The 19,333-nt window shown below is 33.7% G+C and overlaps 1 long non-coding RNA gene across 2 annotated transcripts in view; it reads left to right on the forward strand.

The window, feature by feature from the left end:
• Positions 1-15,816, forward strand: part of LINC02501 (long intergenic non-protein coding RNA 2501) — a 52,278-nt gene extending 36,462 nt beyond the window's left edge. Inside the window, exons 2-3 of one of the 2 annotated variants that reach the window (NR_149121.1) lie at positions 14,494-14,589; positions 15,647-15,816. This is a non-coding gene — a long non-coding RNA (long intergenic non-protein coding RNA 2501). Of the gene's footprint in view, positions 1-14,493; positions 14,748-15,646 lie in introns of those variants that run through there. The other variant, NR_149122.1, reaches the window with a different exon arrangement.
• Positions 15,817-19,333: the final 3,517 nt, after the last annotated feature.

Here is a 19,333-nt window from a genome sequence, read left to right on the forward strand (position 1 = left end):
AGTTGTGTTAGAACTAAATCACTCTTTTCCTAATTTCCTAAGGCAGAAGCTTAGGCTATTGATTTTTGATCTCTCCTTTTTCCTAATATGTCTTTAATGTTATAAATCTCTCTTTAATTATTGCTTTTGGTATATCTCATACATTTTTATAAGTTGTAATTTCATTTATATTTAGTTCTAAATATTTTTAAATTTCTCTTGAGATTTCTTTATTGTCATATATGCTATTTGAAAATATTTTGTACATGCTGTAAATAGTTGGGGATTTCTTAGCTATCGTTTAGATATAGATTTATAGTTTAATTCCATTATGGTCTAAGAACATGCATTGTATGATTTCTAAACATTTAAATTATAAAGGTATGTTTTATTTCCCAGAAGGTGGACTCTCTATGCAAATAAGACACAGGAATTTAAGAAGAACAGTCTGTTTTTTAATGGGATGTGCTGTGAATGTCAATTAGATTGAGTTGATTGATATTGTTCTTGATGTCAAATATGTCTTTACTAATTTTCCGTCTGCTCGTTCTGTCAATTAATGATAAAAGTATACTTGAGTCTCTGTCTTAGTCTTTTCAGACTGCTGTGATAAAATACTATATACTGGGTAGCTTATAAACAAAGAAGTCTGTTTTTCACAGTTCTGAATGCTGAGAAGCTCAAGATCAAGATACTGGCAGTTTTGGTGTCTGATGAGTTTCTACTTTCGGATTCTTAGATAGCATCTCATCACTGTTTCTTTGCATGATGAAAGGGATAAGGAGGTTTTGTTTGGGCCTCTTTTATAAGAGGCTAATCTCCTTTATGAGACTTTTACCCTCATGACCTGTTATGGTTAATAGTGAGTGTCAACTTGACTGGATTGAAGGATGCAAAGCATTGATCTTGGGTGTGTCTGAAGGTGTTGCCAAAGGAGATTAACATTTGAGTCAGTGGGTTGGGAAAGGCAGACTTACCCTTAATCTGCGGGGGCACCATCGAATCAGTTGCCAGTGTGGCTAGACTATAAAGCAAGCAGAAACAAAATGTGAAAAGACTAGACTGGACTAGCCTCCCAGCCACCCCCTACATCTTTCTCCCATGCTGGATGCTTCCTGTCCTGGAACATGAAACTCCAAGTTCTTCAGTTATGGGACTCAGACTGGCTCTCCTTGCTCCTCAGCTTTCAGATGGCCTACTATGGGACCTTGTGATTGTGATCATGCCACTGTAACCCACCCTGGGCAACAAAGTAAGAACAAGTCTCAAAAGGAACTGAAAAGTAGTGTGGCCGTATTTTTCTTTTTTCCTTTTGCATTTACTGTGCTGCCAGTAAATTCATTTATCCGCAAAGTCATTAAGGGAGTTAATATCTAATAAACTCCTCCTTTTATGTCTAAAAACTTCCCTTTTTATATATGTGTTTATCTATATATATATGTTTATATATATATATATAGAGAGAGAGAGAGAGACAGAGAGAGAGTCAGGGTTCTCTAGAGGGAGAGAACTAATAAGCTATATATAATGTGTGTATATATATAAACTCCCATATATATATGTATACACACATACATATATGTATATATATGTATGTGTGTATACATATATATGTATACACACATATATATAGCCTACTAGTTCTCTCCCTCTAGAGAACCCTAATACATGACCTTATCACTGTCCCAAAGGCCCCACCTCCTAATATTATCGTCTTTCATATACCTTTAGAATTATTATGTTTTCTTGGAGAATTGGTCCCTTTAGCACTATGCAATGCCGCTCTAACACTTGGAATTTTATTGCACTATAGTTTTCTTTGTTGGAAATTAAATAGTTACACTAGCTTTCTTTTATTACTGTTAGCATGATGTAACTCTCCATTTATATACTTTTAATCTATGTATATATCTATAGTTAACTGAATTTTTTAATAGACATTGTGTATTATTTTTTCTGTATCCTACCAGTTTTTCTTTTAATTACAATATCCAGACCACTCACATTTAAAATGATTGTCGATATAGTTGTATTAATATCTACCACATTTATAACTGTTTTCTATTTATTTTATATGTTTATTATATATTCATAGTTATTTAAAATTCCTTGTTTGACAATTCCAACATCTATATCAGCTTTAGTTCTTGTTATTATGAATGCTTTGTCTCTTCAAAATATGTTTTTTCTTGCCGTTTGGCAGGCCTTATAACTTTTTGTTAAAGTCAGACATGATGTATCTGTCCTGTTAATAAGGATTACATTATATGTGGCCTTTTGTGTGAAGATTTATGTTACTCCTGCTTGAAATAGGATTGTGTTTACTGTTTTCTATAGTTGTATGTACTAAGGATTAAAATTATTTTTCTTTTCTTTCTCTGTCTTCTACATGGTCTTTGGGCTTTTCTAATAATTGCTTTCAGGGAGAGTCTGAAACTTGCAGCTTTTTTGTTGTTGTTGTTAGCTATAATCCACTGCTATTCCACTGAAACCTGTTGGTCTAGTGGTCTAGTTGTAGGAGAAAGAAAGTATTGTGTAATCTTATGATTAAATTCTGTCTGGTAGTGAGCTGATGTTTCTGGGCTGTGATTTTCACACATTTTTTAACTTTTTATCCCCACTTAAGTGAGACAGGAAGGCAAGCAGTGTGATGTTTGAGCAGTTATCTTCTCCTAGATGGGATAACCCTATGTTAGCCTTTTCCCCTACAGATTAAATCTTTTTGTGGGTAAAACTTGAATTTATTTCATGATGATTATTCTTCCCTTCCCACCGCTAGAGCCAAGAGGGTATCCTTCTTGGCTCCTGACTGTGAGAGACTGATGGGGTTCCTGGAGAAAGTACCCACTTAACTGTAGCCTCAGAAGTTACTCACTCTCCCTGTAGTTCACACTCAGTCTTCAGCATTCATTAAGATTACTTGTTCTGACTTGCTGACCCCAGCAGCCTCTGCTCCAGATGAATAGATCTTGGCAATGACTTTTGGATTCAACCTATCTCTCCATATTTCAAGATCTCAGTTTGCTCTGTGACCTCAGGTCTCTCTGATAACTTCAAGAAAAGTCATAAGGTTTCAGTTTGTTAAGATTTCTCAACTTGTCAGAACTGAAGTGATGACTTTCAGGCTCTTTAACTGTTGGAGCTAAAACTAGAAAAAGAACATTTCTTAAATGAAAAAGAACAGATTAAAATAGAAATGGATCACATTTAGTAAAAGTAAGAAATATTTTAAATTATATACAGAAATGTGCATGTGTGCAAGTATTTAATGGGCAAAAATAGAATTGATCAAACTTTTTAAAAAGTTTAAAAAATATTGACCTAGAATACTGGTTTAATTTTGTTTTTCTCAACTAATGGGTATTCCAATGCTGGTGTACCTCTGATTTGAACCAGGTTAATATAAAATATAGGAAAAAATTTATTTCAGGTTCCATATAAATCCCAGTCTACTGGCTGTAATGCAACAATTTGCTCTTGTAACTAGAAATTTGCAGCACTCCTTAAGGAAATGTTTCTATAGATATTAATTTAGTTTTGACAGTGTTGATCACTAAACAGTTAATTAACTAATTTAAAAACACTGGAGGAAAGGTTAGAGAAAAGCATTGGAAAAAATTTTAAAAAAAGACAGTAGGAAGAAATCCAGTACTTCAACTTATACTGATACCGTCAAGCTTCTCAAGTGAGTTTTTCTTTTAAATCATTATGTCATTCTGTTCTCACTGGGGAATAGCTTATTCACACTGGTTAATTTTCCACATACTTAAAACTTCACTTTTTCTGTTAAAAAATATTTTTTACCCTAAATGTGTCTGATTAAAACACATGAGCATTTGGATTAGAAGAGTATGTGCAGATCATTTGTTAGTATCAATCACCTTATCTTGATATATGCAACACTGAGGCTCTTTCCTGTTTTGGGTACCAGCCTCTTCTAAGGCACTTGTTTTAAAAAAATGTCTCTTAGGTATATGGTCAAAGGTTTTTCCCATTACGAAAAACAGGAGTCCTGTCTTTGATGTCCAAACTAAAAAATGTACTACTAAAAAATGTAGCTGACTTTCCCAAAACTACAAATCCAAGGAAAATAGGTCCTGCAATTCCCATTTTTACAATGCACATAATCATTGCTAAGGTTCAAATGCATTCCCCAAAGTTTATGTGTTTGAAACTTAATTCCAAATGCAACCGTGTTAAGAGGTGAGACCTTTCAAATTGGTTAAGTCACGGGAGTCCTTACCTCATGAATGAATTAATTCCATTATTTCAACAGTGGGTTCATTATCGTTGGAGTAGATTCGTAATAAAAAGATGAGTTCACCCCCCTTTTCTCTCTGTCTTCCTCATGTGATGTCTTCTGACATGTTATAGCACAGCAAGAAGGGCCATTTAAGATGCTAGCACCTTGATCATAGACTTTCTAGCTTCCAGATCCTTGAGAAAACAAATTATTATCCTTTATAAATTATCCAGTCTTAGGTATTTTTTTTCTTATAGCAGCACAAGACAGACTAAGACAATCATTTCCATTTTCCCAAACAGTCTTATTAAGCCATTTCAATGATGATGTAATTGAGTCTCATGGAAGTTAAGTAACTTAGATATAGATAAAATAAGTGCCTCAGTAGTAGAAAGCTAATAACATATATAGCAAATTCAAACTTATACCAAAGCTTATACCAAAATATAGAATGTTAACCACTGTCTTCATATCTACAATTTGCTTTGGAAATAAACTATTTTTTTTACTTAACTAACATTTTAATACAAATAAAATAGAAAAAGCTTATAATATGGAAAACAGTTGATTACCTAAGTACATTCAAAACTGTTATATACAAAAGCATATTAAAAAGTCACGTTTACTTCAGAATTTGTAGAATAAAGAAAAAAACACAATGTATTTCAAGGAAGATTGAAGTATATAAAGATTTTCCTTAAGTAAATGCATGCTAAATACATTATTTAAAATTTCTATAGATTTGTATCTTTATCACTAAGTAAAGCTGCATTCCAATTTTACGGTAAAATATAAAATTAATTGTCAAAAATATATATGAAAAACTAGTAAACTGGACTTTGAAAACTTAGATCCCAGGCCAATGTGTAATACTAGTTTTTGTCACCGGCAAAAGAGCTTACCATGAATCCCTATTTCCTCTTTTTAAACTGAAGAGTGTTAAGTTTTATGACTTCATAAGCCCCTTTTAGTTCTAAAGTTGTACATCTGGTTTCACTCACACATGAATTCGTCAGAGATGGTAAATCTTCTGTTTTATTTTTATTCACTCCATGTTTCTTGTACTTGTATGAAGGCTGACCATAATTGCTGCTAGATATCAAACACCTCATTATTAACAATGTGGTTGCCTATAGATTTTATTTTTTCAATTTCAAATGTCTGAAAAAAATGAGTTATTTTTACTGAGAAAAGTTCTTTAATATTTTTTTCTGATTGAGTTGATACATTTTCATTTTTCTCTTGTAGAAGTCTTATTTCTACTTTTCAATAAATAAATTTACAACTGCCAACAACTTTCTCAAAGTCACAGTTGATTTCACAGATGATCATAAAAAGGCCAGAAAAAGCTAAAATAATGGAAAAAATGACTGCCTGATAGAACACTTTTGTTGCATGTATTCATGTATAACAATTCATGATGAAAATATGAAAGAGACTACCACTGCATTCAAAAAGGAGAAGTTCAAAAAAAGTTAAGATTAAAAATTTTCTCAGCTATATTTCTGCATTTTTCTAGACTTTTGATACTTTCATTTTAACTATGTGATTATTGATATACATGGCTTTTTGGCCACTATACAATGACATTATTTAACTTTCTGCTTTAACCACTTAACCCAAAACTTGTAGCTTAAAATATTATTTATTTATGTCACTATTCTGTAAGTCTACATGTTGGGCCACATTTATCTGGGTTAAGTTTTCCACTGGTTTTGGCAAGACTCATGTGAAACGTGGTCAGCTGCCAGGTTGTCTCATGGCTCATTGGTCTCAAAGAGTCTCTTCTTTGATGGTTTATTTCTGCCTCCTGTAGGTCAGCCCAGGCTTACTCAAATGGCAACTAGGTCCACAATGACAGCAAGAGTGGAATATGCAAGGCTTCCTAAGGTCAAGTCTTCAAATTCTTCCATCGTTTCTAAATTTTGTCATTCAAAGGAAATCACCAGGGCAGCTCAGATTCAAAGGGCATAAATATAAACTACACATTGATTAGAATAGCTGCAAGGTTCAGGCCATGTTGGCTTATGTGTATAACCCCAGCACTTTGGGAGGCCAAGGCAGGAAGACTGATAGAGCATAGGAGTTTGAGGCTGCAGTAAGCCATGATCATGCCACTGTACCCCAGCCTGGGCAACAAAGTAAGAACACGTCTCAAAAGGAACTGAAAAGTAGTGTGGCTATATTTTTCTTTTTGCATTTACTGTGCTGCCAGTAAATTCATTTATTGGCAAAGTCATCAGCAAAGTCATATGTGTTGAACAAATGTTTGGTTGAATATGCATGAAATAAAGAGATGAAGATAATATAATTCAGTATGAGACTAATTACTAGATTCCCAAATTGAGGCCTTAAACAATGACTATTAACTATCATGTTAGACATTCTTCAGATAAAATTCAGGACCCTCTTTGATGGCTACAACAAGCGCTTGGAATAGTCTCTAAAAAAACTAACAGTAGACATATTCTGCCCTTAAGTATGGAATAAATCATGGAAATAATCACCTGTCTCACACAACAAAAAGTGTGAGAAAAATATTGTTTACCCAAAGAAAAATTTTTTTTTTTTTGAGATAGAGTTTCACTCTTTTTGCCCAGGCCGGAGTACAATGGTGCAATCTCGGCTCACTGCAACCTCTGCCTCCTGGGTTCAAGCAATTCTTCTGCCTCAGCCTCCCAAGTAAGTATCTGGGATTATAGGCCCCCACCATCACACCCAGCTAATTTTTTTTTTTTTTTTTTTTTGTGATGGAATCTCACTCTGTCACCCAGGCTGGAGTGCAGTGGCATGGTCTCGGCTCACTGGAACCCCCGCCTCCCGGGTTCAAGCAATTCTCCTGCCTGAGCTTCCCAAGTAGCTGGGACTACAGGCACACGTAGTCACAAACAGCTAATTTTTTGTATTTTAGTAGAGATAGGGTTTCACCATGTTGCCCAGGCTGGTCTTCAACTCCTGACATCAGGTGATCCACCTGCCTTGGCCTCCCAAATTGCTGGGATTACAGGTGTGAGCCACCACGTCCGGCCCCAAAGAAATTTTTAAGTGAGGACTATTCCCTGGTATTGGAGGCAGAAAATATATTCATTTATTAATTCTATAGATAACTGACCACCTACTCTAGAGATAGAAAATAAACCACACATTTAAAAATCTCTGCTTTAATAAATTTATATCATAGAAGGATAATTTGTAAGTAGAATAAAGAACAGTATTTCAAAATTTCCAGTTTGATCCTAATCGATGTTTTCCCTGGGTTTAACATTTCTGTAAGTCTCATGGGAAAGTCCTGTTTAAGGATTTCCCTTTTTCTTTTTGAATTAAAAGTCAAGGAGCAAAAAGGTCAAAATATGGGAACAACCCAAAGACCTATCAACTGATAAATGGATGACCATTATCCTATGAAGTATTATTCAGTCACAAAAAGGAATGAAGCACTGATAGATGATACAACATGGGTCAATTTTTGAAACATTAAGTATAATGTTTCACTTAGTACAGTGAAAGAAGCCAGTGACAAAAGACAATATTAGTGTGATCCCATGTATATGCAATGTCCATAATAAGCAAATCTATAGAGACAGAAAGTAGATGAGTGGTTGCCTAGGGCTAGAGGCAATGGGAAGGTTGTAAGGTGAAGAGTACAAGGTTTATTTTGGGAATGACAAAAATGTTCTAAAATGGACTATGCTGATTATAGCACAACTCTGTGAATACACTAGAAAACACTGAATTATACACTTTAAATGCATGAATTATATGGTGTATGAATTTCATCTTTATAATTTTTTTCCTTTAAAAAAATCACAGGGAAAGGAATTTTCTTTCCTGTAATGGGAGAACAGCTTATATTCACATATTTCTATCAGAGTTCCAGAAAAAGAAGAGAGAAAAAATTATGCGTAAAACTATTTGAAGAATTATTTCCTGAAAATTTTTCAAATTTGGTAACTTACAGTAACCCAAAGATTTTTAGAGTGAAACAAAGGCCAAGAATGTTAATTAAAAAGAAAACACCACCTAATCATATTATAATTAAATTTGAGACCTAAAGATTAAGAAATAATCTCAAAAGCAGTAAGGAAAAAATACATATTAAATATAGGGGAACAGTGATAAAAATAAAAGGTCTCTATATATAAGTATATATATATATGAGAATATATATGACTATGTATATAGCCATATATAAATATATCTATAAATATATATACACATAAATGCACATGAATATATAGATGATTATAAATATATGTGCATCTATCTATCTACACACTCAGACACAACACACACACGCACGTACACTCACAGAGGTTTATTTTTAAAAATTGGTTCATGCTATTGGGAAAGCTAGCAATTCCAAAGTCTTCAGGGTAAATGGACAGGTTGAAGCCCAAGGAAGAGTTGAAGTTGAATCTGAAGGCTGTCTGCTGGCAGAATTTCTCCTTCCCTGGGGGAGATCATTCTTAATTTTCTCAAGACTTTCAACTAATTGGATAAGGTTCATCCACATTATGAAGAGTGTCTATTTTACTCAAAGTCTACTTATTTAAATATTAGTCTCATTTAAAAAATACCTTCACAGCAATATTCAGATGTGTATGAACAAATATTGGGGTACTGTGGACAAGCCAAGTTGGCATATAAAATTAACCACCACAACTTCCAAATGAAATTACCAATTAAATAACAAGACAATACAATTAGACTGGCATCAGATTTATCAAAACAATATAAAAAGCAAGCCTTTAATGGAGCATCAGTTTTTAAAGAAATTTAATTAAAAAATGAGTGAAAAAGGATGTTTACTATTAAATTGTCCATCAAGTATCAAAGCTATTCAAATATTGTTTTAAATAGTGCATAGCCCAGGGAATACTATACTCACTAGCTGTTCTCAAGCAATTGACTAGAGTGGTCAGAAAAGTTTTTGCTAAGGAGTCACATAATGAATATTTTAAGCTTTGTTGGTTCTATGTGTTTCTGTCATATTTTCTTCTTCTTTTGTTTTTCTACAACTGTTTAAAATTGTGAAATACAACTTTCATGGACCATAATTTAACAGGATGCATGCCAGATTTGGCCCCTGGGAGCATATTAATTCCTGTGTTAAAAAATGTGCTTCATCTAACCAAGAGATGACTAAATAAACACTGGCAAAAGCACTATTGATGAACATTTAATTGTAAAGGCAAGGGCCAAAAAATTATTGTAGATATACACATATACATATACAAACATACATATGTGTACTTCAATATGTATACATATATAAATCAAAATGTATTCTGACAGAGTCAAAATAATGAATGTAAAGAATGGTAGAAAAAGGGAGATGGGAATAAGAAATATATATTCACTGAATAATGAAAAATCAATAGGTGGGAACCAAAAGATGCCATAAGAAGTAGCAGAGTAAAATGTAAAAAAAAAGAGAGATTAAAGGCTTTTAAAAAAGTAAAGGTATAAAGATAATCATAGGATCAAAACTACTGATATTTCTAAATATCAACTAAATTTAAAAAAAAAATTATTCATCATCAATAAAATATATCAAATATAATACAAATAGCAATTATAAATCTGACAGCTGAGACCAATAATAATAGTCATAGAAATAAATATGAATAGACTTAATTGTTAGAAGAGAAGATTTTCATTTTGGCTGACAAAAAAACTGCCCAACTACATACTGAACACGAGATATTGACAACAGAGATTCATAGGATCTAAAATAAGAGTTTCTTGGTTTCTACAACATTTTGAGTCTGAGATTTTAGGTATTGACTTGTACTGCATTCTATTCATCAAAGCAAGTCATAAGGCCATCTAAATTCAGATAAAAAATAAACTAGCCCTTCATCAAAGTTGCTGCAAAGCCATTGTAAAAAGCCATGGATATTAGAAAAGAATATTTGTGGATATTATGATATTATTTCAAACAACTTACCACATCTGGTATTGCATTACACTTAATCTTCACAGAAATGCACATGAAAAGTATTATTATTCTTTTTTAAAATTTACTGTTATGGGAATTTTGCCTCATGGATGTTAAACCACTTGTCCAAGATCATATCACTATTAAAATGACATTATTAAGACATAAATCAATTTCTGTGCAACTCTAAAATACATGCCACTGAAGATTACACCATGCTAATTGGTTCTTTCCCTGTTCTAGAATTCAATGAATTGCAAGGAAAATCTTATTTCACAGCTATATCAAGGCATTTGGCTTCTATTCTCTATCATTGTGCTGAAAGTGTCTTCAGTATGGAAAGGATGGGGATACCAATAAGAATCTAAAAGCTGAGGAAGAGAAAGTAATTTCATTATTTGCAGACATTATGATTATCTACATAGAAAACCCATGGGAATGATTTAGAAACAATGAGAATGATTTAGAAACAATGAGAACTTAGAGAGTTTGCTAATGAAGCAAGTCACAGAATTAATCAATACATAAACATGAATGGTTTTCCTGGATATCTGCCATGACTAGTTAAATTATAAATAATTAAATAAAGCACATGGACAATACCAAAAATGATGACAGAAATACAAGTTTTCATGTTTTGTTCTGGATTTCAATCTCAAAAATACAAACACCTCTATGTGGAGATTTCATGCACACTGCAGACTTACATTGCAAATTGAACTCATCATTATCATGTCCCTCTATCCTACTTCACCCTATGGATTCCCTCGCTCAACTCATGACATTCCCGTGTCCTTATGCCCATGTTGAAAGTCTGATGTTATTGGCTTTATTACTTGAATATCTCCTCCCCTTACCCCTCAAATCTATATTTTTGCTAATTTTGCCTCTAAATGTTTTAATAGACTTTAGTCAGTTATAATTTTCAAAAATAAAATGCATATATTTTAATGTATGTTTGTTGAGTTTTGACAAATTTATCTACCTATAGAAACACCACCTTAATCAAGCTATAAAATATTTTCAAAATCCCAAAAAGTTTACACATAACTTCTTAGAATCAGAGTCATCCTCCCAAGGCAACCGTTGAGGTGAGTTTTATCACCACAATTTAGATTTACTTTTTCTAGAACTTTAATACGCAAAACCATATTGCGCATATTCTTTTGTATGTGACTTATTTTGTTCAGCATAATATTTTTCAGATTCATTCAGGTTGTGTGTAACATTAATTCACTAATTTTTTATTGCTGAATACACTAAGCCAAATATTTCTTAGGTATTATTGTCTCCACCAATGCTTATGTTACACATCCTTTCTAATTTGTATCTTTCCTATTAATGGCATGGTATACTTTCATTATGACTTTTTCAATTGTCTCTTTCATACTGTCTCAGAGCACTATTATAAAAAGCCTCCAATCTCACTATGCAACTCCTCTACAAAATATCCATCAATGGATTCTCTCAAATGATAGATTAAAAGAATAAGCCCCTTACAATAGCATCCAGGATCATTCAAGATCTGTTCTTTTCCTCCTTTGCCTGCCTTATCTCATTATGATTCAGAACTTCCTAAGTACATTTACATTTCCTTATATTTTATTTTAGCTCTATTTTGTTTTGTTCTACATTATTTGCTTTTTGAGCCTAAAAGAGTTTTCTTTTCTTCTTTGTTTAGGTGAGAATTCTTTCACAATTTGAATAGGAAAGTGACATGGTAATTTAGGACAAAGAGAATAGTGTTCAAAATGTTGATGCATATTTTAAAAAGCATGATGAAATGGTGTGCATGGATGGGTAGAAATCATGAAAGTATTTCTGGTATTGTTTCAGCTAGATCTCTCAGGGGGTTTTGCAGGAGCTGACATTGGAAGTCTAGGCTGGGTTGACATCAAATGTTCTGCAAATGAATTCATTGGTCATTATCCAGCAAAAGTGATGGAAAATTATTGACATGTTTTGCATGTTATATTAGTTGTCTATTGCTGCCACAACTAAGTACCACAAATTTAGTGTTTTAAAACAATACAAATTAATTATTTCACAGTTTTACAGGTCAAAAAGTCCCATTTGGTTCAATTGGTTTATATGACCCAAGAGTTACAAGGCTAAAGTCAAAGTATTTATTGGCTGGGCTCTTCTCTGGAGGCTTTGGGGTGAATCTGCTTTCCAGTTCATTCAGCTTGTTAAAAGAATCCAGCTTTTTATAACTGTAGAACTGAGGTCCCTATTCTTTGATGGCTGTCAGCTAGGGGTGGCCTCTAGCTCCTAGAGGTTTCTTTCTGTTCCTTATATGTGGCCCTCTCACTTCAGAACAAGCAATGGCTCATCAAATCCTTCTCACACTTGGAATCTCTCTGACTTCACTTTTTGCTGCTTATCTTCTACCAAGTCTGTTCTGCTCACATCTAGACAAACTTTTTTTGTTTGTTTTTAACCACCCGTCGAATTACACTGAGCCCATCCAGAAAATCCAGGATAATCCCCCCTTTTACAATCCATAACCTTAATTACATCTGCACAGTCTCTTTTGACATGTAACATAACATATTCACTGGTTCCTGGAGATTAATTTGTCGACGTCTTTGGGGGATGGAATTTGACGAGGTCAGATTTAGGTCATAGCAGATGCTTATAGACCACTTATATCTCCATGAAAATTCATGCATTGAAACAAATTTATAAGGGGGTCATTAAGAGATTATTAGTCCCTTATAACAAGCACCCTCCACCCTCCTCAGTGAGCTCCATTGTTACTTCTGTCACGTGAAAACACAGCAAAAAGGCAACCCTCTAAAAACCAGGAAGTGGGTCCTCACCAGACGGCAAATCTGCTGGAGCCTTTATCTAGAACATCTCAGCCTCCAGAAGTGGGAGAAGTAAATTTCTATTGTTTATAAATTACCCACTCTATGGTATTTTGTTATAGCAGCCTAAATGGATTAAGAGAGAAGGTTTATTCTGGTAACTGGGTGGAAGTTATATGTGGACATAGCAGATGCCTCTGTTGACTGCATTATATTCCTTCAATCCACTTGTGATTTCAGTCACATCTTGTGAGCTCACATTCACCAAATTTTCCCACTGTCTTACCTCAGTTGCAAGCTGTATAATTTATAATTTGCTCAAGGAACTTTTTATTCCTGTAGTTTCTCCATAAGCACAGCCCGGAAGTCGTAGCAGGGAGGTAGAGAGGGGTGTTTTAAGCCTCTCAGGTTTAGGTCGTCATCTGTGAAGGATGGAAGTTGACTGATAAATGCACCTCTTCCATTTTGCATGTGATGAGTCTTCACATTTGTCAACACTCCCAGTGGATTTGAGCCTGGTTCCCACACCAGCAACTCATTCCCTAAATACTGCTGCCTGTGATCACTTCCCAAATAGATTGTCTGTCAGTACCCATATCCTTGTCTCAAGTTTTGTATTTGAGATAATTTTAACCAAGACAAAAAGCAAGCTGTCACATTTATAGGGAGGTCACTGTAATACTTTATTATGAGGGTCTGAAAGTCAACCAAGGCATTGGCAAAGGGCTAAATGGAAGAAGATAGTTTTAAGACATGCAACTGATTATATTTAGAATGACTATGGAATGGAGAGAGAGAAAGAATATTTGAGAAGGTTAACTTGCAAGGAAGGCAGGTGAAGAAAAGTGAGGTGGTATTATATCTGTTCCCAATATGGACTTTAATCTGAAACAATGATAAACCTGGACACTATCTAGATTTAAGCATCAAATATGCCGTAAGTAGTTAATTGCTTCAAAGTACTTCATTAGTATATTAATTAACTAACTCTAAGATTACAGAATATGGAAAATGTAAACGCTTATGTAGTGCTTACTGCAAGCCAGGTACTGTTCTAAGCACTTTATGATATAAATCAATTTTATCCTCTTAATATCCTTATTGGTAGATACTATTAAATCATCCTTATTTTAGATATAAGAAAACTGAGATGCAGAAAGATTTATTAACTTTCCCAAGTTTACACAGATCTAAGTAGTAGTGCTGGGGTTTGAACCCAGGGCCATCATGCTCTCGAGTTGGAGATATTAGTTCTACACAATTCTGTATCTCTTAATACTAATACTAGTACTTTTTCTAGTAATACTAACATAAATATGCATGATTATGGGAGATTGAAAATATGGATACAATATTTTACAGTCCTTCTATCAAAAGGTGGAGACTGTTTCCCCAAATCCTGAATCCAGGCTGGTCCTGTGACTTATTTGACCAATAGGAATAGGCAAATTAAACACTATGTGAATTCTAGAGAATAGCCCCAAGAGTCCTTGTTGTTCATGCTTTTTCTCTCCTTTAAGGAAGCCAAGCCACACTGCTAACTGATGAGAGACCAGCTTGAAAGAGGGAGGACCTGCCAATTGCCATCAGCACAACTCCAGATATATGGGAGTCAGGTGATCATAAACCATCCATTTTCTGCTGAGTCACAGTAGACTGCAACTCCATGAATGAGACAAGGAGGTGTCGGTAAAAACAAAACAAAACAAAACAAAGCAAAAACTGCCTGGTGTAACCACAGAATCTTAAGAAATAATAAATGATTTTAATCCAATGTTCTGAGTCGGTTTGTTTTGCAATGGTAGAAAACCAACTATGATTAACAGAGAGGCTACTCACAATAAGAAACAATGCTAGCTGCTGTGGGAAATAACAAGGTAGTAAAATATGTTGCTAAAATTAAGAGGCAGCAGTAAGACTTCACCTTGAGGGAGAGAATGATGGAATAATTAAGAACTATAAAAACAAATCTAGAATACTTTAAAAGATTCCTTCAGATAAGATCTTAGAATGGAGAAATAGTAATCGATGAAGAAATGTTTGCTCCTAAACCATATGTTTTCCTTGTTTATGAAACTATTGCAAGTACACACTATAAATAGTGTGTTTTTATGAACGCAGTTATTTTAAAGATATAAAAAGAACTGAAGGGAAGATGAGCTTTGAAATCAGATAAGCCAGTATTGTAATACCTATGTTACAATTTATCATCTGGCTGGTTTTGAACCAGTTACCGGAGAATATTTTTACCTCAGTTTCTGGTCTGTTAAATGGGAATATCGGTATCTGATTTATAGACTTGTTTGTTAGTTAAGTACAGTGACGTGAGTAGACAGCTCTTTTAATGTCTAGTTTAAAAATTGGTGTACAAAAATTGTACTTTACTTCGTCCTCAACTTGTTGTAGGAGAACTTAACGAAATATCCATAGTTAATTATATCACAATGAATATAGTCCCACTTTCTCAATTATATTTCTAATAAATTAGAATTTTCCATTACAACTTTTACACCCAGGCATGCCTAAAACAGTGTGGCTTTCATTTTAGCTAACCCAATTGATAATAAATTAAGATATTTATTATTATAAGATAATAAACAAAATAATAATATATAATATTAATTAAAAATATGTATTATTGATTTTTTTAAAAACATTTCTGATCTCTTCCAGGCTTTAGGGCAAAAACCGGGGATCACAGAATGCTTGCTCAATCAACTTTGCTCATCCAAAATCACAAAAATCGCCTCAAAAAATGTTGATGATAATTTAATTTTCTTCACTCTCCATGAAGATGTTAGATAATGCTCACTCTGGGTGAGAATAAAAGCCAGACTCATCAATTGTGTTACCGATTATATTCTTGCAAAAGAATTTTCTTTTAATTGAAAAAGCTGAATGTGAGCCAGGCATGGTGGTTCACGCCTGTAATCCCAAAAGTTTAGGAGGCCGAGGTGGGTGGATCTCCTGAGGCTGGGAGTTCGAGAGCAGCCCGGACAACATAGCGAACCCTGTCTCTACTAAAATTACAAAAAATTACTGGGAGTTTTGGTGGGTGCCTGTAATCCCACCTACTTAGGAGGCTGAGACACCAGAATTGCTTGAACTCTGGAAGCGGAGGCTGAGGTCTGCCTGGGTGACAGAGCCAGACTCTGTCTTTAAAAAAAAAAAATGGAAAAGCTGAATATGGCACTATAGATGCTACTATTCAACTCTGTCTTCATTCCTGTACAAAGGTCAGCTAGAACGACTATAACTGATAAAATAGTATTAAGATAGTATTTATCCATTCCATATGACCCTATTGTTTGTAATTATAGAGATCATTGAAGCCATGTACATGAACATCAATAGCAGCACTCCTTCCCAAGACTTACTCCACCTCCCACATTTTCTTTAATTATTAATAATGCTCTGCTTCTACTATAGGTATATAGACACAGATAAAACTATAAACTCTAAGAGCCATTTGAAGAAAGTCTATCGTCAGAAGAAGCAATCATGAAAATAATTGCTATTATATGTATGATTTTATTCATACTCCAAACAATTAGTTGAAAAAACTGCAAGTAACTAAATTTGATAATTTAGTATGCAGAAAAGTTCTATCACATGAAAATGGTATGTTTTTGCCATTGGCAAATGGTATTACACAACTCCATGCTTTATTTTAGCTTTGGAAAACATAAAAGTAAATGCAAAATATATTTACTAATCATGAGGGCTCCTAGAATATTTATTTTTGTGCCTCCTCCAAAAGATTTTGGTAATTTAATTTACTTGTTTAGTTGTGTGTAAATATTTTATAAAATTCCTTAGAAGTAAGCAAATAAAAATCACTGATAACCAGAAAACAATGCACAAATGAGTCCCCCCATGCAGCTCCGCCTTTCTATGCCCTTGAAAAACAAGAAAAGGTAAAGTAAACAAAATCCACATGAGCCTCTTGCAGTGGTAAAAGTAATAGACCCAGAGTCAGGGAATCAACTTTCCTAAGTTGCTGTAACACAGATCACTTGTATGACTTGGGGCAGCATATCTCTAAGACAAGATGATTGGGCACAGTATTTCTTAAGATTCTTTATGCCTCTTTTGCTTTAAAAAATTATTAAAATGTTTCTAATAAAAATACAAAGAATCTTTTCTGTTACCATTATCATCATTTCAAATTAATTTATATGCTACACTTAAATTTTAAAGATATTTAATCTGGAAAGGAATAGACAAAGCTATTTAAAAGACTTCTAAAATAAATACGGAGGTAATTTACTTTAGGAAGTAGAAATAACATCTTTTATGTTTTTGTTTTTTTTAATCAAAATTATTTTTAGACTGCTTATATGTAAGCATAGTCTATTCCTTGTTTTGACCAAGTGACATTGTAGGTATATTTAAGAAATTATGGGCAATTAGAACTTAATTAAAATGCTGTGAATTGAAGGGTTTCTAAAGGTGTTGTGACTTATGGTTTTTGATTCTGCATATAAGGAGTTGGGAAGTTGCCACAAAAACAAGTAAAAAGCTTTCACAAGTGTAAAGGTAGACTGAAAAATCAATTCTAGATCTGTAAGAGAAGTAAGGTCACAGAGCAAACCACTGCCATCAAAATTGGAGAGATAGAACAGCAGACACAGAGAAACCACAAATTACTGGAGCAGAAACCCATGAGCAGAGAAGAGACCTACTGGGGAACCAATACTAGGGGAGAAAAACTTATACTTTGACAAACTTCTGGAAGGCCAGCCTTACACTTCTTTGGGTTTTACCATTAGAGGATCTACCAGATCCTCACACTGAATATTGGAGAAAAATCTCCTTGTGTTTCTAGCAGAGAGAGGAAGAAAAAAGAACCATTTTCGAAACATGCCAGAGCATTCTGTTCTTCTTAACAAGGCCTGCTGTTAGGAAAATCTATTTTGCCAAAGCCTAATCAGCCGAGGTTTCCAGAACCTATACTACCTGGGGGAAGGGAAATACCCTGCTCCAGCTTCTGTAGCCTTCACTGTGGGGGAAGAGAAATACATAATTTCAGTTCACTTCGGCCATTTTGTCTCACCTAAGGCAGGATAAATTGAGAAGCAACAATAAAGTTCACAGTCCAGGGACACAGGTTCACAGAAAGACTGAGACCTAACCATAGGGCTATGCAATGTTTCTTCTACCACAGCTTACCACTACGTTATAAAAGACCTACTTACCACAGTTCCTTTTAGCTAGTATTTAATGTCTGCCTTTAGAGAAAAATTCAAGGCACACAAAAAAGGAAAAGATACATAGTTGAAGAGACTGAACAGGTATCATAACCAGACTCAGATATGGCAGGAATGTTGGAATTATCAGAGCAGGAATTTTTTAAAATTAGGTTTAATATGTTAAGTGTATTAATGAAAAAAAGTAGACAACATACAAGAACAGATGGATAATGTAAGCAGAGAGATGGAAATTCTGAGAAAGGATAAAAAAGAAGTTCTAGAGATAAAAACACTGTAACAGAAATAAAGAACGCTTTGATGTGCTCATTAGCAGAATGAACACAGCTGAAGAAAGAATCTCTGAACTGGACAATATGACCATAGAAACTTCTAAATTAAAAAGCATACAGAAAAAGACTGAAAAACTTAAAAACAGAACAGAATATTCAAGAACTGTGGAGCCACTATAAAAGGTTGGAGAGCACAAAACCTTGAACATCACAAGGAAAATAGTTTTATAAAGGCTTTCTCCATTCAACAACATAAATCAGGCTTTAAATATAAAGCTACCAGATAAGTCTTTGTATATAAATTCCTTATCTTAGTCTTTTTAGAAATACTATTTTTAACAAAAACAAAAATTATTTTTAAAAATATTTTTAACAAATAGTAGAGAAAGAAAAATGGTATAGGCAAATAACCTGTATCTATACAAAGAGAAGAAGATCAGAGCATAAGTGAAGGTCAAATATAAACTTTTATTTTTCTTATTTCTAATTTAGCATAGTTTATTATAAACAATAGCAACAATGTATTCATGTATGCATACTTCTGCATGTGTGTATATATGTATATATATTATATATATATGCTTATGTATAAGTGAAACGAATGACAATAATGATAAAAGGGATGGATGTGAAGAATTAGAAATATTTTGTTATTATAAGGTATTTGTACTCCAGATGAAATGGTATAGTGTTTTTTGAGAGTGGACTTCAATTTGCTGTAAACTATATAGTAAATTCAAGGGCAACTACTAAAAAGGAAAAAAAATACATTAAAAAAGAAGTATAATGTTATCCTAAAAACTGAGAGAAAATGGAACCATAAATGCTAAATTAAATCAGAAGAGACAAAAAATTGTAAAAGACAGAAATGAAAACCA

This window comes from Homo sapiens, chromosome 4 (genome assembly GCF_000001405.40).
Source record: "Homo sapiens chromosome 4, GRCh38.p14 Primary Assembly".
Taxonomy (NCBI): domain Eukaryota; kingdom Metazoa; phylum Chordata; class Mammalia; order Primates; family Hominidae; genus Homo; species Homo sapiens.